Source organism: Homo sapiens, chromosome 5 (assembly GCF_000001405.40).
Source record: "Homo sapiens chromosome 5, GRCh38.p14 Primary Assembly".
NCBI lineage: Eukaryota > Metazoa > Chordata > Mammalia > Primates > Hominidae > Homo > Homo sapiens.
Window position 1 is genome coordinate 21,769,711 of NC_000005.10, and position 23,694 is coordinate 21,793,404.

Genomic DNA, 23,694 nt, shown 5'->3' on the forward strand with positions numbered 1-23,694 from the left:
TTAGGCATTATATAAACTTATAGTTCTCATGCTATTCTTCGTAGTGCTACGTGGTTTCGTTAGGACTAAAGATAAGCTGTTGGCATCAACCACCATTTTCTTGATGTAATCTATTGAGATTCCACATAAGATTTTATTTGACAAAGTGTCCTGATCATCTACAAAGTTTGAAAACTATAGATGCATAGACATCTATTTATAGATGGAAAACATTGATATAATCTTTCCTATGATTTCTATTGGAGTCAAGACAGGAATCCAGATCTTCTCACAGTTTCTCAACGCTCTATGATAGCTATTAACTAACTCAGAGAGCAAGAAGATGGAATGCCTGAAATCTACCAACATATGTGATGATCAAGTATCCTCACTGAGTCACATTCAGAACTCATCTAGCCACCAGGCTATGAGGAAGCCCACTTTACATTCAAAGGACAAGGCAGAGCTTCTTAAAATTGTACCTCGTAGATGTGTTTCCAAGAACCAAATGAGAAGTGTAATTGAACATGTTTTGAAAATGGTAAAGTACTAATGAACACAAGGTTCTTGTTAGATTAAAATACACTGGAGTTATTTTGTTTCTTTATTGAAAAATAACATCTCTTTGGAATAACTATAAGAGTTAAAATTCGGCCAGGCATGGTGGCTCACGCCTGTAATCTCAGCAATTTGGGAGGCCAAGGCAAGTGGATCACCTGAGGTCAGGAGTTTGAGACCAGTCTGGCCAACATGGTGAAACCCCATCTCTACTAGAAATACAAAAAGTAGCTGGGCATGGTGGTGGGCGCCTGTAATCCCCACTACTCGGGAGGCAGGAGAATCTCTTGAACCCGAGAGGTGGAGGTAACAGTGAGCTGAGATTGTGCCATTGCACTCCAGCTTGGGTGACAAGAGCAAAAGTCCATCTCAAAAAAAAAAAAAAAAGTTAAAATTCGGTATTGTGATTTCTCAAAGAACTTACAACAGAATTACTCTTCGACCCAGCAATCCCGTTATTGGGTGCATAGCCAATAGAATATAAATTGTTGTACCATAAGGACACATGCACATGTATGTTCATTGCAGCACTATTCACAATAGCAAAGACACAGAATAAACCCAAATGTCCATCAATGGTAGACTGGATTTTTAAAATGTGGCACATATACATAATGGAATACTATGGGGCCATAAGAAAGAATAAGATCATGACCTTTGCGGAAACCTGGGTGGAGCTGGAGGCCATTATCCTAAGCAAACTAACCTAAGAACAGACAACCCAATGCCACATGTTCTCAATTGTAAGTGGGAACTAAACTTTGAGTACATATGAACACAAAGAAGGGATAATAGACATCAGGGCCTACTTGAGGACAGAGAGTGGGAGGAGGGTGAAGATCAAAAAACTATTACCTAGTGACAAAATAATCTGTATGTCAAACTCCCATGATATGCAACTTACATACATAACAAATCTGCACATGTACCCTTGAACCTAAAATGAAAGTTTTTTTTTTTTAAAGTTAAAATTCAATTGTGTGACTGTGTTCTAAATTACAACTACAATAACTTCTAGAATGGAATCTTAGCCTTTTATGCCATGAAACTGAATTATACTAGTGCAAACTCAGTAAGATATAATAAATGAATGATATAGGTTGACACAGGCTTTCTTTGACTTTTCTCTTTAGTTCAGTTATGTTTAAATGGCACATTAAATTATATCATGTCTAATATAATCTGTAGCTAGTCTGGGGAATCCATAAAGATAATTTCTTCACCAATATACTTCTGTGATTCCATAAAGGTGGATTCAAAGATTTTCTGATGGGCAATTGGTTGAGAGTGTTAAGTTATTATTTAAGGACCTGGAATCAATAAAAAGGAGTGTCTGGGTTAAGATTAGGGGTTGTGGAGACCAAGGCTCTTATTATATAGATGAAGCCTCTAGGTAGAAGGCTTCAGAGAGAATAGATGCTAAATGTCTCTTATCAGACCCAAAAAGGTACTAGATTCTTAGTTACATCTCTCCAGGATCAGGAAAAGACCTGAAAAAGAAAGAAAACGATGTACAGAATGTAAATTTTCCCCCATGAGAAATAGCATTGCAGGCCCATTTCAAAATATGTCAAATAAATATATTTTGGAGTAAATTACTTTGATTCCTTTTAGGGCCTAGCTATCTGTCGTGTCATGTGATGTCACTAGAGTCAGGATGAAATTTGGTATCTTATTGCTACAAAGAGTCTGTTTTGTCATTCGTAAGATCTTTGTTTCAATGTTATTGCTGATCAGTTGTGCCTGATTTCCAAAAGGAACAGAGTATTGTGAGACATGTTCGACTCCCCTTCCCATCATCATAGCCTGAGCTAAGTTTTTCAGATTTACTTTGGAATCCTCTTGGTTGAGAGGAGAGGTCCATTCAGTGAGTTGTTGGGCTTAGAATTTTATTTTTGGTTTACACTGTAACCAACATAAATTTTCAAAAGTACCGGTAAGATCAAGTTCTGTCTTTGATTATATCTCCTCAATGTGTACCTCTTTGCTTCAGGATAAAAATCAAAATATCAGAACATGCTGAGAAAAAAAATCATATTTGTCATCTGGATTTTCTTCATTATTGGGAGGCAAAGGGGATAGTGAGAGACAGAGGCACAGAGACCACAGAGAGAGTTTTACCTTGTACTTATCCTTGGTTTCTTTTCTCTTTCCTATTCTGAAATCCTGCATATTTTTCGGAATATTTTATGCTTTATTCCATTTCTAGAGCTTGATGTATGCTATTTCTGCCAACGAAAATATCTTTTTACCTTCTTACTATTGATCCACCGACCTTGGCCTTCCAAAGTGCTGGGATTATAGGTGTGAGCCACCGTGCCTGGCCCAAATAGAATCTTTGATACTAAGAAGTTTATACTAAGAAGTATGAACTTGTAAGTATCATCATATACTATATCATATTGAATCTATTCCTATAGTAATTGATTCAATATGATATAGTATATGATGTCAACAAGATAACAATTCCATGTAAAAACATTTTCTAATTGTGAATTCTCTCTTGCATGTGATATTAAAAAGAATTTTATCTACATGTCTAAATATAATTTTTATCCAAATTTCAACCTTTAGGTGAAAAGTTCATCATGTAGTTTTAATTTCCTGTGATAATCAGATACTAATTAAGAAAAATATAAGCCTGGCATTATAGTTGTACATGTGATTTTGATGGAGCAATTAGATTGATTTAAAGTATTCTTAAGCAGTTTGATTACAGTAATGTACGCAAAAGCAGTTGAAAATTTAAGATAAAATACAGTCTATCACAATACAAATTTGGATTTCATTACATTTACATAGCATATAATAATGAGAAAAATGGTATTATTTCTAAATTACACTGATGATTATGGTGATGTTAATGATTATTATTTCCGATGTATATGATACATTACAGTGCTTTACGAAATGATGTGAAAACCTCATTAGTGATTCTTTCTTCGAAGTACTACTCTTCAAAGTTGTGATGGTTAATTTGAGTGTCAACTTGATTGGATTGAAGGATTCAAAATATTGTTCCTGGATGTGTCTATGAGGGTGTTGCCAAAGGAGATTAACATTTGAGTCAGTGAACTGAAAGAGGCAGACCCACCCTCAATTCAGGTGGGCCTCCATCTAATCAACTGCCAGTGGGGTTAGGATAAAAGAAGGCAGAAGAACGCGGAAGGACTGGACAAGCTGAATCTTCTGGCCTCCATCTTTCACCTGTGCTGGATCCTTCCTGCCCTCGAACATCAGACTCCAAGTTCTTCAGCTTATAAACTCTTGGACTTACACCAGCGATTTCCCTGGGGCTCTTGGGCCTTCAGCCACAGACTGAACGCTGCAACTATTGCCTTCCCTATTTTTGAGGTGTTGAGACTTGCACTGGCTTCCTGGCTCCTCATCTTGCAGATGGCCTGTTGTGGGACTTCACCTTGTGATCCTGTGAATCAATTATCTTAATAAACTCCCCTTCAGATATTCATCTACTAAGGAATTCATCTACTAAGGAATATTCACCCTTATTTTGTTAAGAACATGTTTGTACATGTATACAGTTGTACTAAGAAAATATCTTTATTTCCTTTTTTTCTTTATCATGTGACATAAGATTTATTGACTTCATATCAGCATTTAAATGTTGTTAACTTTATATAATAGCATTTAGGTTAATGATTAGTGTGCTTCTGGTTGTAAGAAGGATAACTGTACTATGTTAGGCATAATTATGACCTTATTATTGTCTTCATTTGGTGATTATGTATGATTTCAGGAGATGTGTGTGGGTTCAAGTTGACAAAGGGTAGACTTGTGATGGTTAATACTGAGTGTCAACTTGATTGGACTGAAGGATGCAAATCATTGTTCCTGGGTGTGTCCGTGAGGGTGTTGCCAAAGCAGATTAACATTTGAGTCAGTAGAATGGGAGAGGCAGACTCACCCTCAGTCTGGGTGGGCACCATCTAATCAGCTGCCAGCGTGGCTAGGACAAAAGCAGGCAGAGGAACGTGGAAGGAATAAGCTCACTGAGTCTTCCTGCCTTCATCATTCCCTTGTGCTGGATGGATATTTCCTTCCCTCAAACATCAGACCCCAAGTTCTTCAGGTTTTGGACTCTTGGACTTAGACCAGTGATTTACCAGGGACTCTCGGTCCTTCTGCCACAGGCTGAAGGTTGCACTATTGGCTTCCCTACTTTTGAGGTTTTGGGACTCCGACTGGCTTCCTGGCTCCTCACCTTGCAGATGGTCTATTGTGGGACCTCATCTTGTGATCATGTGAGTCATTTCCCCTAATAAACTCCTTTTCATACATTCATCTATCTTATTAGTTCTGTCCCTTTAAAGAACCCTAATATACAAGTACTAATAAAATATTGGCAATTCTAGTATAAGCCACACTTATCTTTCTTTGAGAATACAAAATAGTTTTATATAGTTACTTGGGAAAAAGAAAGGAAATTAGAACACAGTAAATAAACTACCTACACTCATGTAAAACAAGGCATTTACGAAAAATAAGAGGAAAGCAATAATTTGGGCAATTGAAAGAAGAAAGGATTGACATCAATTTGGAATTGAAACCAATGGTTATGTTTAGTCCTGAAAAGTCAACTACAGTCTTTGAGTAAGTACATATATTCATGGTAACTGATTCCACTCTTTTGTTTACTAAAATTTGAGAATGACACAGTGGGTCCCAAATCAGTGTTCCTTGGAGTTACTCAGGGAGCTTGTTTGAAATGGAGATTTCTTGGCAGTACTCCCAGAAAGTCTGATTCACCATGACTTGAAAGAGGTAGAAGAATCTTCCCTTTAGGAAATGTTCCAGGTGTCTCTGATGCAGGTGGCTGTGATTCACATTGAGGAAGGCCAGTAGAGAAGATAAAGGCCAAACCAAGGATGCCTATTCTCAAAGCGAATAGAACTATTAATACCTTTTTTGAAAACAAGTCTGGCCAAATTAAGGAGAATATTTCTGCCCAAACACCACAAAGAATCCACACCTCTTTGTCACTTTGTTTCTCGTAAGGTTAACTATATAGTCACCCAGGTGAATACACTGTAAGCCAATCAGTGCTTGTTCACAGAAATGCAGGCCTAGGAACAGATAGGAAAAGTTGGAGAAGTGAAATGCTTCTTTGGATCCATAGTAAGCTGGGGGCACACAGGTAGAGGAGATAGAATGAGAAGGAGGGCAGACTCTTAGTCGCACCTGAAAAACTGCAGATTCTCACAAGTCTTTTAAGGCTCTGTTGAATGAAGCCTCAGCCTCCTCTCTGAATGTCTACTCCTTGACAGCAACTATACCACACTGCTTGCAATATCTGACCTCAACATGACTTTTCATAGCTATGCCTTTGCTTAAAATGTTTCTTCAACCTAGAATGGCATCCTTCCTTCCATGATGATTTTCTTTTTTTTAATATTTTAAATCCTTAACTCATATGGAGCTTCCTATGTGACACTATGTTTAGGTCTTCAAAGTAATTTTTTTTAAAAAAATAATTACTTATTATATTCTTTCTGGGAGCACTCTGAATTTTGATTTTATATTTAATGTATTTAGCCAGATTGTTGCATTTCTCTTGACATTTTCAGTGCCTAGAGGCCAACAAATATGGTTTCTAATTTTTTCTCTTTTTTCAATTGACTTGTCTGATTGCCAAGAGCCCATATGGTAGGCAAGCTTCTATAATGGCTCCCAACGATCCCCACCTCCTGATATTCACACCCTCATGTAACTCTTTTCCTTTAAGTATGGTCTGAAGCTAGTGGCTTGCTTCCAATAAAGAGAATGTGGGAAAAGAGGAGATGTCATTTCTGACATTAAGTTATAAAAAGCTGACTTTCATCTTGCTGGCACTTTCTCTTTCTCTTGCTCATTTTGATCATGCCAGCTGCCATGTTACAAACTGCTCTATGGAGATGCTCCTGTGGCTGGAAACTGAGGGCAGCTTCGGATCAAACAGCAGTGTGGAATAGTTGCTCGTCCAACAGCCTACAAGCACACTGAATCTTGCTATCAACCACTGAGTCAACTTAATTGCAGTCTTACAAGAGAAACCTTAGAGAACAAAGATTCACCATAAATGGATTCCTAACTCTCCTAACTGTAAAATAATACATGTTGTTTAAACTACCAAATTTGTAACATAGCATAAGTAACTAATACCTCATACATAAAGAGTAGGTTTTTCTTCTAAGTTCCTGCACTCTTCCTCCCCAAGAATTGAAGACCTGTTCGTGAATAGCAGTGTAGTACCTGAGAACATCTTTCAAAGAAATGTTGCTGTCTTTCTACCCTTAAAATCTAAATATGATCCACTTCCGATTACCAGTATTATGCTCCACCTATTTTTAGGATATTTGTGACTTCATCTTCTATTTATGTGCCATCCTCCACCCCATTTATAATTAAGATTGCCTTATTCAAGGGCACCATATTGAGAGTGCCATATGCTGCCTGCATCATTGAACATATTTGCCAGAAAGTCTTATTCCTTCCCACACCCTGCCCTGATTTTGAAGGTCTACATTAGTTAATACGTCTTGTGTGTCTTAACTAATTCTCATCACTGAGTCACCCCAAGACAGGACCTGTGATGGCACCATTGAGCACAAGGTGAAAAACACATAGTTTGCATATCATAACTACCAAGTATGTTTTTGTTCATCAGTTCCCAACTGAGGTATTGAGAAATTATTGATAATGAGGCTGTATTTTTTCAATATTTCAAAAAGTCTGGTATATTAGATATTACATATCATTTCATTATAAGGTTAATGGACACATCATTTTGTAATTATATCAACTAAGTGTGCTATTATGTTGATCAAATTGTCACTCTGATTAATTAAACATAAAGTTATTTAATAAATATTGCTTAAATAAGAGTATGATGTCAGGTAGACAAACTCTTTCAATGTACAAGGGAAATTATCAAAAAAGATCCTTCACAATTAAGTTATTAGGAACTCTTACTGTAGCTTGAGATCCTGGTAATTCACATTTATTGAGCATAGATAGAAATCTACCTAACTATACCACTGTTATGTACATAATATCACACACATATTTTTCTATTCTGAGTCTCTGTTTTTTCTTTCTAAAATGCAAATTTCTATTGAATTTTGATATGTAAGCCCTCTAATAAGCTTAAATATAGATAGATAATAAATACGTATTTCACTTCAACTATATGTACATTGCAAATAAAAATATTTAGTCTTTTTTACTATGTTATTATTTATCTATGCAATGGAAATTACTTTGATAATTGTTACCACTAACATTTTTTTTTTTTTTGAGACAGAGTCTCACTCTGTCACCCAGGCTGGAGTGCAGTGGCATGACCTCGGCTCACTGCAACCTCCGCCTCCCGAGTAGCTGGGATTATAGGCGCCCGCCACAATATTCAGCTAATTTTTGTGTTTTTAGTAGAGACAAGATTTCACCATGTTGGCCAGGCTGGTCTTGACCTCCTGACCTCAAGTGATCCTCTTGCCTTGGCCTCCCAAAGTGCTGGGATTGCAGGCATGAGCCACCATGCCCAGCCTACCACTAACATTTTTAAGTTAACATTCTAACTGACAGATACAACTGTATGTATTTACCATGTACAATACACTGTTTTGAAGTATATATACATTGTAGAATGAGTAAATCTAGCTAATTAACATATGCACTACCTCACATAGTTATAATTTTTGTAGAAACATTTTATATCCACTGTCAGAATTTTTCAGGAATACAATATATTAACTATAGTCACCATGTTGTACAATAGATCTCTTGAATTAATTCCTCCTATCTAACTCAAATGTTTTCATTACTTGAGCAACATCTCCCAATCACAACCCCTAAAGTATTTAAAATAAATAAATGAAACATGGTGAATATGTTCCCTGTGAAATTGTTGTCAGTCTCATCCTCAGAATGTGTTCTGGAATGAGAGACTCCAGGGTGTTGGTCCGAGCCTGGTCATCATTAGCTGTGTGACACTGAGCTACAGACAAAATATCTCTGAAAGTCCATTCCTCATGCCCACAATGTGAACAAGAACACTCACTCTGCAGGTTCATTGAAAGGATCAGATGAGTTAATGCATAGAAAGCTATTAATATAGTTTATTACTTTATTATATTGTTAATGTTATTCTAGAAAAATTAGGTACTCACTTCTCATATGTTGTGATAATATCATTCCAGAGCTGACAATTTGGCATATAAGCCAAAAAAAAAAAAAAAAAAAAAAAAACTTCAGACGATTCTGCCGGAAAAATCTCTATTTTTTTTTTTTTTTGTTTAAATTCTTCATGACCATATTGTCATCAGTCCTAAATTTTTGCAACCACCCTCTGAAGTTTATATGACAGTTCACTTAAATCTAATTTCCCTGGAATTCAGCATAATTTGCACAGTTATTACTTACCAAAATTTACAAATCTGGTCAACTTATAACTACTACTAAATTGTAATGCCCTTAAGAATAGATATCATTCCTAATCAGTTTTCTCCTAACCCACAACAAATAATGTTTTGCTCATAGATAGTACTCTATACAGGTGATACCAAAAAATGCATGAATTTATGTTGAATCTGAATTATAGGTACCAATCTTGAAATTTGATTTTCTGTACATATAAGGATAATATTACTTCATGTGAAATTTTAAAAAGTTACAACATAAAATAGCTATATAGAAGATAACCTTAAAAATTAATTATCTAACAACTTTATCACAACTCATAATGATACAATTATATGTAAACTTTTTTCAATATAGCATTTAGTAAGGGAATTCACTGTTTTTTTTTAACTTATTCCACAATAAATGGGACCAATGCACTGCCATCTTGATAACTAATAGGACCAAGAAAAGCATTGTCTCTGGTATCACCTTTTTATTTTATAATCATATAAAATATATTCTAAGGATTTAGTGAAGTTATGTTTAGTTATATTTATTTATTTATTCACTTTCTTTTTCCTTTTGTTAATTTTGTTTTTCTTTTTTGAGACAGGTCTCAGTATGTTGCTCAGACTGGTCTTGAACTCCTGGCCTCAAGTGATCCTCCCACCTCAGCCTCTTGAGTAGCTGGGACTACAGTTGCAAGCCATCCTGTCTGGCTAGTTATCTTTAATTAATGACATTTGTTAAAGTAACACAAAAATCCTAGAAACATTTGCCTGTTGAAACTTTCTGATAATTTGAATGAAGTAAAGTTTGGAGTCTCTGTCTCATTGAAAATACTCAAGGTTAATATAATAAAAACAGCAAAGCAGTAATGCATAAAAGAATTATTAGAAGTCTAATAAAATTATTTGGACCTCCAACTATAGCAACACTGATTAATGACTGCTTTTTAATTAATTGAAAGTTGTTCAATCATCGTGCCATTTCATTTCACCTGAGAGTTTTTATAAAAGGGTCAGAGCCAAAACATATGCTAGTTCAATTTGCAATAAGGTATACTTAAGCAATTTCATTCTTCTTGGCAGGGCAAGTGTGGGCTATTCATTTCTCATTTATTCACGGTGATGATATTCCCTGTTCAGCTGGCTAGTGTGATCAAGGAAGACAGTCTTAGGCATTAGAATATGAATAAAGTTTACTTTTAAGCTGTGCATTCAAACAAAATAAAAACCTATGATTACCTACTCTTCTTATAGAATCTTTAATTACCACTTGATAGTGTTTAGCCTCTTTATTTTTCATACAGATATACAGTCTTTGTCATACCCGATTTCCTTTATGGTTCTAATATCTTTACATTGGCCACTGAGTAGATAGTGGAATTAACCAGAAGTCCATTTTAGGAATATTAGTTTGGTATCACTCTTAGATTGTGCATATATTTTGTTAATTTGTCTAAGTCCCAGTTCTGCCTATGACCCAGTGAGGAGCAACATAACTTATTAGCCTCCATACCCTGTGGATTCCTGATTTTCATTTAGGTAAAAACTGTAGCCAGCAGCTGGTAGTGTGACAGAGCCCGCATATGCACCAATCATATTAATAACTAACAAATTAGGATTCTAAGATCTAAACTTTCAGGGACTAATAACACTTGCTTCCACTATAAAGGTTCATACTTCCTTCCATTTTCTAAATTGTTGAAGCTCAAGGCTCTGAAAGGAGACACTAGACCTTATCGTTATGAGTGTCTTCAATCCCATAATTGCTTTGATAACCCAAGGAGCCATTGGAAAGAAAGAGACCTGCCACAGCTACAGCAGAAGCAATCAATAAACTGTCTGAGACATCCATCTAGAGTTAAGGCACACAAGCCTATTATGCCTACATCAAGGAAACATGCACCTGTTTCATGTGTGTATGAATAGGAAGGTTTAGGTTAGATTAGATAGTTTTCTACTGAATAATCTTTTATTATGGACAACATGTTTATGATAAGTAGAAGTTATTGAAGAGACTACCTCTGGTCAGTTGTCATTTATTGTATCCCCACCACTGGAGTGAAAGTAACATGGTTCACAGAGGTCTTCTATTCTGTAACTTAGACAACTCATTTTCACCATATTATTTCTCAAAGATCTTATAAAACGAAAGTGGATTTTTAAAATTATGATATATTTTAGCTGTCCCCAAATTCTGCATAAATGAAATAAATGAAAGCATGAAATGAATGAGGAAAACATATGTAACTATAATAGAATGTGGTATGGGAGGGGAGATAGATGCCAGGTGTGAAAGGAGACTTGGGGAAAACAAAGAGAATGAGGATGGGAGCCCTTCAAGAAGGGGAGACTGTCATTCTCTTCTCCCTATAATATGACTGCTTGGTAGCTAACTCACTGATCATCCCAAGCCTAACTGCCCAAAGAGGGCAGATATGAAAGAAGACGGCAAGGCAGAGGAAACCTGCAATATAGTGGCAACCTATAACGCACCTGTTTTAACATCATAAAGATGAGTGAATTTCCCATGGTCAGCTGGACACAGGAGAAAGGAGCTAAAATTGAGAAACCGTGCTGTCAATTTACCCAAAAAGCCTGCCTGCTAAGCAAGGGGCCTCTAGAATTAAGAAGTTATAAGGTCTACCACTGGGTGCCCATGTCAGATTCCTATGCGGAGGGGACACCCAGAGCCCCCAACAGCAAATAATTCACAAAATTACATAAGAATTAGCATTTGAACAACTGTCTTTACTGCCATTCCATTTTAGCCCTAAAAACAGCGGCAACCAGACCAGGCACGGTGGTTCACTCCTGTAATCCCAGCACTTTGGGAGGCCGAGGCAGGTGGATCACCTAAAGTCAGGAGTTCGAGATCAGCACGGCCAAGATGGTGAAACCCTGTCTCTACTGAAAATACAAAAATTAGCCAGGTGCGATGATACATGCCTGTGATACCAGCTACTCGGTGGGTTGAGGCAGGAGAATCGCTTGAACCCAGAAGGCGGAGGTTGCGGTGAGCCGAGATTGCACCACTGCACTCCAGTCTAGGTGACAGAGTGAGACTATTATCTCAAAAAAAAAAAAAGTGGCAACCAATGGAGCACTATATTGGCACTATATTCATAGAGATTTATGCATTTTAAAAATTTTCCTTTCCTTTCTATTGCAAGAAACTGGGAATCAGTAGCCCCACCCCGAAGGAATGAAAGTTCTGATTATGTCTTTGAGTTCTTCAGATATCTGTTCCCATGTATCAGCAGACATCAAAATGTAGTTACTTTTAATAAATGTGAAATATTGTAAAATTGTGACAAATAATTTTTCATATTTATTACAATTTTGTGGGTAAGAATTTGGGCAGGATTTGACTGGGCTAATATTCCATTTCACATGGCATTGATGAACTTTACACTGTGGTATCCCACTAGTACAGTGGACTGGACTAGAAGCTCAAAGACAGCATCACTCACATTTCCAGAACACTGGGAGGTATGGTTGGAAGGCAGAGCTGAGCTGGAATTGTCAACCTGAGCACCGCAACGTGGCCTCTCTAGTATGGCAGCCTCTGGGTAGTCAGACTTCTTACATGACACTTTGGAACTCTAAGTGTTCCAACGAGCAAGGCAGAAGCTGCGTGATCTTTTATGTTAGACTTACTTTTAATAATCAAAATAAACTAAAAGTAATGGGATCAGCTAAAGATATCACGAAGATGTGGGAATGGGTATCTGACTATTCATGTTTGTTCGGAGTTGTTGAAGACAAACAAAACTGTTTGATGTTTACATTCCCACTGAGTTGGACTGATCAAAACCCTTCAGCAGAAATGCTCACAGCTATTCCCTGCATGGAAAGTGGGAATTAGCTGCTAAAGTGTTATAAATTTGCACCAGATGCACAAAATAAAAGAAGAAGGAAGCAAATGGAAGAGATTCAGTTGAGATTTTTCCAAACGTTTCAAGAGACCATAAGTAAAAGGAATGGGGAGCTGCACTTTTATTAAGAACAATTATCTCAAGAGCCAAACGTCACCACTTTCACCCTGATCCATTACTTGAGAAAGTTGTGATAATAACCTTGATCGTTCTGCCAAACAAATAAAACCTATAATCACTCAGTCTAGAGGATTCTTTTCTGAACCAAGCAGAAACCAACTCAACAAATAATTCCTAATAATAATAAACATTTTGAGCCACTCCTTGAAGAACTGCAATTGAAACTCCTGTATATTCCATAGTGATAGTCATCAAAAATAAATTTGAATAAAGGGAGAGAAAAGGAAGATGTATGAGTTTTTAAATACTCTCTTTGATGTCAGAAAATATTTCAGAATGGGTGATTTTACATGATAATTATTTCCCCTCACCTGGCCCTGTGAAATACCCAATGATATGTAAAAGGAAACTGTGTGGAAGAGAAATTAAAACTCGGGTGAATTTTTGAGGGTAAAGCATAGAACAGGATGAGGTCACACAATGAAATGCACTACTAGATATTCATGCAATACTGCAAACAGGACTCATTGGCAGCTGTCACAATTTCTCTGGACTTATGCTCTGAGGAAAAGGAATAGGTTTCTGAGTTTCCCCGCGAGACCACTCAGCTGTCAGTCCAAAAATGAAAAACATCTCAGCAGGGACTCATTTAAGAGTCTTAAATCCAAAGAACTGCAGTATAACATTGATTCTGTCCATGCCATACTTACTAACTTTACTCGCAATTATGGAGAAATTATACTGCGCAGTGCTTTCTCTGTCTAGTAATTCATTAGTGGCGATGGTTCCTTCATTTCCATCTATTGTAAAGTAGCTGTCCCCATCACTCTTCCAATCTATGAAGTACCTGTATATGAAAAGAGTAGATGCAAATGTGCAATGATTACACATTAATCATAATGGCACTTAGGCTAACTTGACACAGTTCCTTATTTTTCTCCCTGTAGCTATTACCCACCTTGCAATAAAGAAGACTGTAAATGACAGCTTCTTTATTGCAAAGTCAGTATGCTCAAGGGGAAACTGGAAATAATAAAAGATTTAGTACTCCTGCTGTTCATATTATTTTAGGGCCTTGACACCTTGAAAGCTCAGCAGAGACTAAAATTCTAAAGCTGACCATGAGTTTCCTTAACCTGCTGAATATTAAAACTTTTTCAAGCAGTAAAAAATTCCTTAACAGTGGCTATGACTGTGTAAATGGGGTTGAGAGAAGCACTGGAAACAACTACAAAGAACCCAGGTCAAAACAGAGGTAGAATCTTTGTTTCCAGAGATAGAAAAAATAACATCATGGAAACAAACGGTAAATTTTTTTAACTGACAATTTGGTAATTATACAAAAATATTTCCTCAAACACATATAAAACGGTCATGGTTGTTTTATTTTGTTATGTATTTTGTTGTTTCATTGATGTTTTATTACATATCAGGTCAACATTAGAAAAACAGTGACTTTGGATAATGATGTCTCTTTATCTTGTTTATTATGTGACATATTTGATAATAATGGATGTTGCCCTACGTGAAGCAACTGGACTAAAAATTCCAAGAAAATGAATAGCAAAATAGAAAATGCATGTATTTAAATCTTTAAGTAACAGTAGATATATGGATCGGCATTATGTGAAATTTTTTTCCAACATGTGTTTTCAATCATAACAATCATTAACATTTTTAAATATGACAATTTGATAGACGTTATTCTCAATGCTTACACATTGAGAATAAAAAATGTCTGCAGAATAGTATTATTAATATGTCTTACATATGAGAAAAGAGAAAGCATAGAGACATGAAGGAATTTGTCCAAATTAACATAGTTAGAAAATTTTAGATTGATGTTTGAACCAGGTCATCAATGTTTCCCATATAATTATTATTACACAGTCTTACCAATTTTAAATATAACATTTTATGGGAAATGATTTTGCTAATCAAAAGGCACAATACACAAATTATTTGTCATCATTTTATTCTAGCCTGGAACCAAAGAGAGATCATTTCAAACAATGGCTGAAAGCAGATGGCATCATTGTTAGTCAGCCCTTGGAATCACCACTCCAAAGAAAGTGTTCATTGTGAAAAGTCAGTAAAGCGATGTGTATCTCAACATAAAAAACTATTTATTTTGACAAGCTGATTATTTGAAACTGTAGCAGTTTGTATGTTATTTCAGTTCTAGGTCACCTGCATTTACAAATGAAATACATCTGAAATATATCATTCCACACTAGTCTGTATCTGTTAGTACAGGTATACCTTATTTCATGGCTCTTCACTGTATCGTACTTCACTCCTATTGCCGTTTTTACAAACTGAAAGTTTGTTGCAACCCTGTGTCAAGCAAGTTCATCGGCATCATTTTTCCAACAGTAAGTGCTCACTTCATATTTGTGTCACATTTTGGTAATTATTATATTTCAAACTTTTTAATTAATATTATAACAGGGTGATCTATGAACAGTGATCAGTGATACTTGATGTTACTATTGAAATTATTTTGAATAAGAGTGAATTATTTTGAGGCAAATGAACTGCACCCATATAAAATTGTAAACTTAATCAATCAACGTTGTGTGTCCTGACTGCTTCACTAACCAGCTATTCCCCCATCTGTCTCCTGCTCCTTGGGCCTTCTCTAGTCCCTGAGACACAACAATATCGAAAATAAGTCGAGTAGTAATTCTACAGTGGCCTCTAACTGTTCAAATGAAAGAGTCACACATATTTCACTTTTAATTAAAAGCTGGAAATGATTAAGCTCAGTGAAGAAGGCATGCCTAAAGCCAAGATAGTCCAAAAGCTAGGCCTCTCATGCCAAACAGCCAAGTTGTGAATGCAAAGGAAGAGTCCTTGAAGGAAATTGAAAGTGCTACTCCAGTGAAGACAGGAATGATTAAAAAGCAAATGAGTTTTATTGTGGTTATAGAGAAACTTTAGCGGTCTGGATAGAAGATAAAGCCAGTCACAACATTCCTTTAAGCCAAAGTCTAACCCAGAATATAGCCCTAGCTGTCTTCTGTTCTATGAAGGTGGAGAGAAGTAAGGAAACTGCAGAAGAAAAGTGTGAGCTAGCAGAGTTGGTTCATGAGGTTTAAGGAAAGAAGTCATCTCCATAACATTAAAGTGCAAGGTAAAGCAGGAAGTACTTATGTAGAATCTGCAGCAAGTTATCAAAAAGATCTAGATAAGATCATTGATGAAGGTGGCTACACTAAACAACAGATTTTAAATGTATACAGAACAGCCTTCTATTGCAAGAAGATGCCATCAAGGACACTCAAAGCTAGAGAGAAGTCAATGCCTGGCTTCAAAGCTTCAAAAAACAGCCTGACTCTCTTAGTAGAGGCTGATACAACTGGTGATTTGAAGTTGAAGCCAATGTTCATTAACCATTATAAAAATCCTAGAGCCCCTATGAATTTTGCTAAATCTACTCTGCCTGTTGTCTTACAAATGGAACAACAAAGCCTGGATGACAGCACATCTGCTCACAGCATGGTTTATTAATTTCTTTTTTAAAGACAGACTCTTGCTCTGTCACCCAGGCTGGAGTGCAATGGTATGATCTCAGCTCACCGCAACCTCTGCCTCCCAGGTTCAAGCGATTCTCCTGCCTCAGCCTCCTCAGTAGCTGGGATTACAGGTGCATGCCACTACGCCTGGCTAATTTTTGTATTTTTAGTAGAGATGGGGTTTCACCATGTTGGTCAGGCTAGTCTCAAACTCAAGACCTCGTGAGTAGCCCACCTGTACCTCCCAAAGTGCTGAGATTACAGGCGTGAGCCACCACACCCAGCTGGTTTACTAAATATTTTAAGTCTACTGTTGAGACCCACAGCTCAGGAAAAAAAAAAATCCTTTCCAAATATTACTGCTTATTGACAATTCACCTAGTCACCCAAGAGCTCAGACGGAGATGTATAAGGAAATGAATGTTGTTTTCATGACTGCCAACAGAACATCCATTCTAAAGTCCATAGACAAAAAATGTAATTTTGACTTTCAAGTCTTATTATTTAAGAAATACAGTTTGTAAGGCTATAGCTACCAAAGATAGTGACTTCTATGATGATTCTTGACAAAGTAAATTGAAAACCTTATGGAAAGGATTTATCATTTTAGATGCCATTAAGAACATTGGTGATTCATGAGAGGAGGTCAAAATATAAACATTAACAGGATTTTGGAAGAAGTTATTCCAAGCCTCATGGATGACTTTGAGGGGCCAAGATTTCAATGGAGGAAGTAACTGCAGAGGGGTGGAAATAACAAGAGAACTGAAATTAGAAGTAAAGCCCTAAGATGGGCCTGAATTGCTGCAATTTCATGATAAAACTTGAACAAAAGGGGACTTGCTTCTTACAGATGAGCAAACAAGGTAGTTTCTTGAGATGAAATCTACTTTTGGTGAAGATGCTATGAATATTGTTGAAATCATAACAAAATAATTAAAATATTATATAAACAGTTAATAAACAGTGGCAGGTTTTAGGAGGATTGACTCCAATTTTGAAAGGAGTTCCATTGTAGGTAAATGCTACAAAACAGCATCACATGCTGCAGAGAAATACTTTGTGAATGGAAGAATTGACTGATACAGCAAACCTCATTTTTTTCTTAAGAAATTGCCCTAGCTACCCCAACCTTCAACAACCACCACCCCAATTAGTCAGTAGCCATCCAGTTCAAGGCAAGACCCTCTACCAGCAAACAAGATTACAACTTGCTGAAGGCTCAGGTGATCTTCAATGTTTTGTTTTTGTTTTTTGTTTTGCAATAAAATATTTTTAACTAAGGCATGTACTTTTTTGGGCATAATTCCATTTCACACTGACTCGACTATGGTATAGTGTAAAGATGATGTTTATATGTACTGGCAAACGAAAAAACTGTTTGACTTGCTTTATTGCAATATTTGCTTTATCGTGGTAGTCTGGAACCAAACCTGCAATATATCCAGGGTATATCTGTAATTGATTTCTGAACCAGAAGATGCTTAATATTTATTAGAATAAAGTATGAGCCACGCTGTTAATCTAATTTTGACATTTCTTCTGTTTATTGGAGGAATGAGAAAGCACTGATGTCTTCCAATTTCAGTGTGGTACCTTAGCTCACATGAATGCTCTCAAAAATTAAAAACGAAGTTAAGGCACACCAAAAGGTCAGAAAACATAGAGATATAATGAGCTTAATTCTCCGTACCGCATATTCTTTTCTGAACAAGAAAGCATTTCTCAAAATACTTCTTTATAGCACCTCATTTAACTTGCCATATGCCTAATTTAATAAGAAAATTGCCACTGAAACTCCTTATTAACTGTAGTATTTCTGAAAGAATTGCTGATGTAGGCTCACTGTGTTCAATTTTTCAATTTATTAAGTATTTGCTGAGTGTCCACTATACACTAGACATTGTTCTAGAGATGAGACATATAAAAATAAGTAAAGTATGATGCCCATCAGTGAAGACTTTAGTTGGGAAGACATGTATAAACAGACTGTTTCAATGCCTGAAAGAGAGATAGTAGAGAAGGCTTTGCAGGAGTGCCAAGAAAACACATTGAATGTAAAACCTAGTGCTTCAGGCAATCCTTCCTGCACATGATATTTGGCTGACATTAGAAGGCTATATGGAAATCATCCAAGAGGAGGTTGAAGCAGAAAAAGTGAGGGGAGGAATAGACGGTGTTTTAGAAAACTGCAACAGCAGTAGCAAAACGACACAGGTGGTGTAGGGAGCTATCAGTTGTTCAGAATTACTATAGAAAACTATCTGAGAAGCATAATGACATGGAAAAAAATGAGTGATTTAGGTCAAGGAAGATCTTATACATTATAGTTAAAAAACTATTAATTTCTCTATAAGTAGTCCCTGGTGCATGATTTGTATTAGAAACTCTCAAATACAACTGAGAGGAATCACTGGTTTTTAATATATTTTTAATATTTTTAAAATATTTCAGATGTATAATAAAGTTGCAAGAATTGCACAATAAAGTTCCAAACATCTTTCACTTACACTTATTATGTTAGTATTTTCCCACGTTTGCTTTATCACTTTCTCTCTTCTCATGAGCACATGAGTTTTTGTAGAATCAAGGTTTCAAGTTGTCTGACTTTGGTACCATTAAGCCACAGACATGCACTTCATACAGTCATCAGTTTTTATTCTTTGATAATCTTTTCCTTTTGATTAGGTTGTTTAATCCATTCCCATTCAACAGCTAATATTGATATAATGGTATTTGCATTTGCCATTTTATTTTTAGGTTTTCTATATTTCTCATGTCTTTTTTGTGTATTTCTTCTCTACTCCTTTCTTTTACAATAAGTGGATATTTTCTAGTGTGAAATTATTTCTTTAATGATTTTTATTATATAATTTATTTTCTTAATATCTGCTTTAAGTTTTGCCATATATGACTTAACTCATCAGATTCACATTCATACTAAATTAGAGTAAAATATAGAAATGTTTCTTCTATGTAGTTATGTGTGATAATTGTATGTATTATATATGTTACATACATATATGTCACAAGTGCAATAAAACATTGTAACAATTTTTAATTTTTATAGTTTTATGTAATGTTTGCATCCTGCCCCTCCTGGTAAGATATTATATCCCTTGACTGGTTGCGAAGGAAAGAGAAACCATGTCTTTTTACCACACCTGCCAGGTGGGCATTTGTATCAAGCCGAGCTGGGACATAGGAGTGGGAGCGGGGAGCAGGTTCTGGGTTAAGTGTCACTGTCTTTTGCTATTCTTACCAAGTTTTAGTAGCTTTTCTTGAATAAATTGTTCTTTATGTGCTGCATGCTCTTAGAAAATTTTCCAGAGACTGTAAATGAGCGTCTTTTATTTTTTAAAGAAACAAATGTCATTTATTTTTGTTTCACTGGGGAGTGTGTCTATAGATCGCATCCTGCTGCCATTCATTAAGTGGAAACTCCATTCATTTTTGAAAATCCCATACTCTTTTCTTGTGAATTCCAGTTAACTTGCATGATATTTTTCAAAGCTTTTCTTTACTTCCATCTTTGAAAATCTCTGCAATGAACAGATCATTCTTTAATGCTAATAATATTCAATTATTATGTAGATGTTGGAAAATATAGCACAGCTTGTATACATTTTGTGTATGTGACGTGATTATCCTACTTACCCAAAGTTTGTTAAATTTCCTGAGAGCAGAGACTAGCTTTGTTCATCTCTGTGTTGCCAAGGACCTGGGATGTTGTTTGTACATAGCACCTGCCACTTAAATATTGTATTGAATTCTTTGCACAGATCCTATTCTTCCTGCCTGTATAATAGTTACATATTTCTACATCAAGGGAACATATTTAGAGCTTTAAGACTGTCTTATTTGGGACAATCAATTATTTCTGATTTGATGAGGACTTTCTCAGTTTTTACAGTGAGTGTCTTTAGGCCCAGAAAACTCCTCAAGAGTTTTCCCAGATAAGATTGGGAAAATTGATCACCTTGTTTATAGTTAATATTTGTAGCATATGTTATAATTTAACAAATTGATTCAAACAGAAGTCTAACTTCATACAGTGAATCACCACATATACAGGTTATGTTTAAATGTAATTTTAGGTATTTTTGATAACGAGTTTAAAATTCAAAGACTTACATAATATATACATCAAATAATACGTTTATCTCTTAGTTATGTGTTTCTGTATATCAATCCACTAGGATCCAATATCTTGCAAGCTCAGTAAACATATTTAATTTTTTAGTTCATTCAGCCTAATGCTGAAGTAGAATTTGCAATACATAGATTAACCACCACTGAGATGCAATGAAATGTAGCATGAAGCACAGTAATTTTTTTGTATAGAGAGAATTAGGGTGATATACATTTTATTCACTTACCTTGTGCAATTAGTTTAGGGATCTTTCATTCCAATATCTATTCTCCTTATGTTCTATAAAATTTGGAAAATAATACCTCCCTAATAGTGTAACCATGAGTGTTGTTATAAAAATGAAATAAGATAAAGTATATGTTGCATAGGGATAGAGTCATGTGTATCAGCGTGTGAGTGTATGTGTATGTCCTTTTCCCCCTTTCTCCCTCTCCTTTCATACTATTTTGTATTACTTCCCAGATAAAAACTCTTCCTTACCCACACATTTTCTTATCTGGCATCAAGTCGTGGCACACATAACCTTCAACTTTCTAGTACTTGAACTATGAAGCTCCCACACAAACTCGTACAGTACAAACCATAAACACAAATATCCAGGCTCTATTTCACACAATGGTGCTTCTGTTTGACTGTCATTCGCTACTTTCTGGTATCTATTTTTTATCTCTGTCACCTTGTGAGACTTAGCAAGCTCCTTTCTCTGCATGATACCCTCCAACAAAGCTTTATATCTTCTGGAATATAGCTGACACCCATTTGAACAGTTCCTACTCAGCTAAGCATCTTCAACATCTTCTCATAGTTAGCCAGGTCTCAGACTACAGGCCTAATACTAGCTCCTGGCATCTTCCCAGTGCTCTGTCTATATGTGACTGACTAAAACCTGTGCCTGACTAAAGCACAAATATTTTCTATTGTGATATTTTATCCAGTATAGCAACTGAGAGACATTTATAAGAAAAGACCATCAATGAACTTGCAATGAAACCATTCCTACATTTTCTGGACAATTTTGGAAAAGATATGGCCCAGTTCTTAAAGGCATAGAAATTTTGAGGAGTTACAGCCTCACAGAGTGAAACATCGTGTTTCTGCTGTTGGGTTGCAACAGTCTACTTACAATCTAAGGATAAAATATTATTGGAATTGCAACTAATCACAACAGTATAACATGAACTGTGTAATTTGGCCTAACAGATGAGTTTCAATGAGCAAAATATTTAAACAGAAAGTATGTTTGACTCATCTCATACTTATTTGGTGAGTAGATGGGATTTAAGTGAAAAAACGATTATATGATTATAATCTGTATATAATAAAATAAACCTAATTTCATACAATTATGTACAGTGATTGTTGCTAAAAAAAAAAAAGGTTTTAACATTTGAATAGAAATCAGAAATTAAAACATTAACCTAGTCTGCGCAGGCCATTTGAGAGAGTATGGTTTTATTCCTATACTGTAAATTAGTTTTCAGAAACGCCTTTAAAATTTTTATTCTATTTATTAGGTAAGCATTTCCCTTAAAATTGTACTTTTCAATTTGCTTAATAATTTTCTCACCATCAATGGAAACGCTAACTTTGACCCTGCCCCAGTTCTCAACTACATGTGTAAAAGGAACTTGATGGTACCAAATTCCTCTGAAAGTACTACACCTCATTGTTTAAACAATAAAAATCTGCTAATAATGACACAGGTCAAAGTAGAAAATGTTATTTTGTTAAGATAATGATAGTAGATCAAACTGTCTTTACTCTTATCTCTTCTTAGTTGCCAATGTTTTTGTTTTGCCTTTTGGAAGACAATTAAAGAAAGTAAATTCAGTTCAATTCATTTTAACAAACACTTTACTGAGTACCTAAGCCACCTGCAACAATATGTCAATTGTAATTTCTCCATCAGCAATCACAAATAAATCCCGCTATGTTCCTCTCAAACTTTTTAAACCACCAGTTCCTACTTTCCTATCAATTTCTCTTTTTTCTTATCTTCCTCCTCATTTTTACTTTCCCCTTACTAGACTTAAAAGTTGTATCTTAAATGGTTTAGATGGTTTCTATTGCTTGTTTTAAATGTTTGATGAGAAACTATTTACAAAAGTATATCATTTAATAAAAGTAAGTCTTCTGTCTTTAAATTTCCCATTTGTACACATGCAATATGATTAAAATAGATCTCTAAAGAAGAAGAAATATACCATAATCTACATAATGTTGAAATTATAATTGTTGTATTTGTATTTTCCTCCAAGTTGCTTAAGCTTTCCTCTGCCCTTTTTTTTTTTTTTTTTTTTCTTGGAACAGTCATACACGGTTTCTTACGGAACTGGAAGTTAACTTCAAAACTCTCTTCTCCTCTGCCATTCTGTTGGTTATCTGACCACTGTATTTTGTCTTTAACTCAGAGCAAAAATAACTTTATCTTTGACAAGAACTTCTTCTGCCCCCAAAGCTTTACACCTGTCCTTTAGTTTACTCTGCGGACACCTTGAAGCAGCTTGCTCTAATAGAAAGAAAATGAGGTTTAGACAAATAATGATTAAGTCCAGGCTCTGTACTTAACAGCTTTAAACATCCTGAGTCTCAGTTTTATCAGATATTAAAAAATGCAGACTGTAATACCTGACTAAATAAGTAAAGAATGTGTGCAGTAAACGTTGATATCTGATATCTTCTGCTTAGAAGTATCTTTGACTCTAGGGACTTCAGAAGTCCCTTATTTTGGACTTGGTTGTCAGATCATTTCAATTTTTTTTCCTCCCATTCATGTCACAGAACTTTCCTAATTTCCTCAGAAATCAAAGGCACCTTTTTGCTTTGCTCATGTTCTCCCCATTAAGACTTGCTGAATCCCTCTAGACAGCATCTATTTCTTCCTTCTTACAAAACTGTACCATTTTTTAAACTTTACTTACTACCTATTTGAATTGGTGTTAACAGTTTCTCTCAAATGAGAATAGCAAACAAACTATTTTGTTTTGTTCATTATACAGGGAGTTTTTTTCAAGTATGAAGAGTTCCTTACTGAATATATTGCTCTATTCATAATACAGTGCACTTATATGTGTAAATTGAATTAT

The 23,694-nt window shown here is 35.6% G+C and overlaps 1 protein-coding gene across 10 annotated transcripts in view; it reads right to left on the bottom strand.

The window, feature by feature from the left end:
- The window catches only part of CDH12 (cadherin 12), a 1,102,672-nt gene that overhangs the window by 19,038 nt on the left and 1,059,940 nt on the right, over window positions 1-23,694 (bottom strand). For all 10 annotated transcript variants that reach the window (NM_001364104.2, NM_004061.5, NM_001364106.2 and 7 more), the window contains 1 exon segment: window positions 13,648-13,784. In NM_001364104.2, the coding sequence (NP_001351033.1) occupies window positions 13,648-13,784 (137 nt within the window).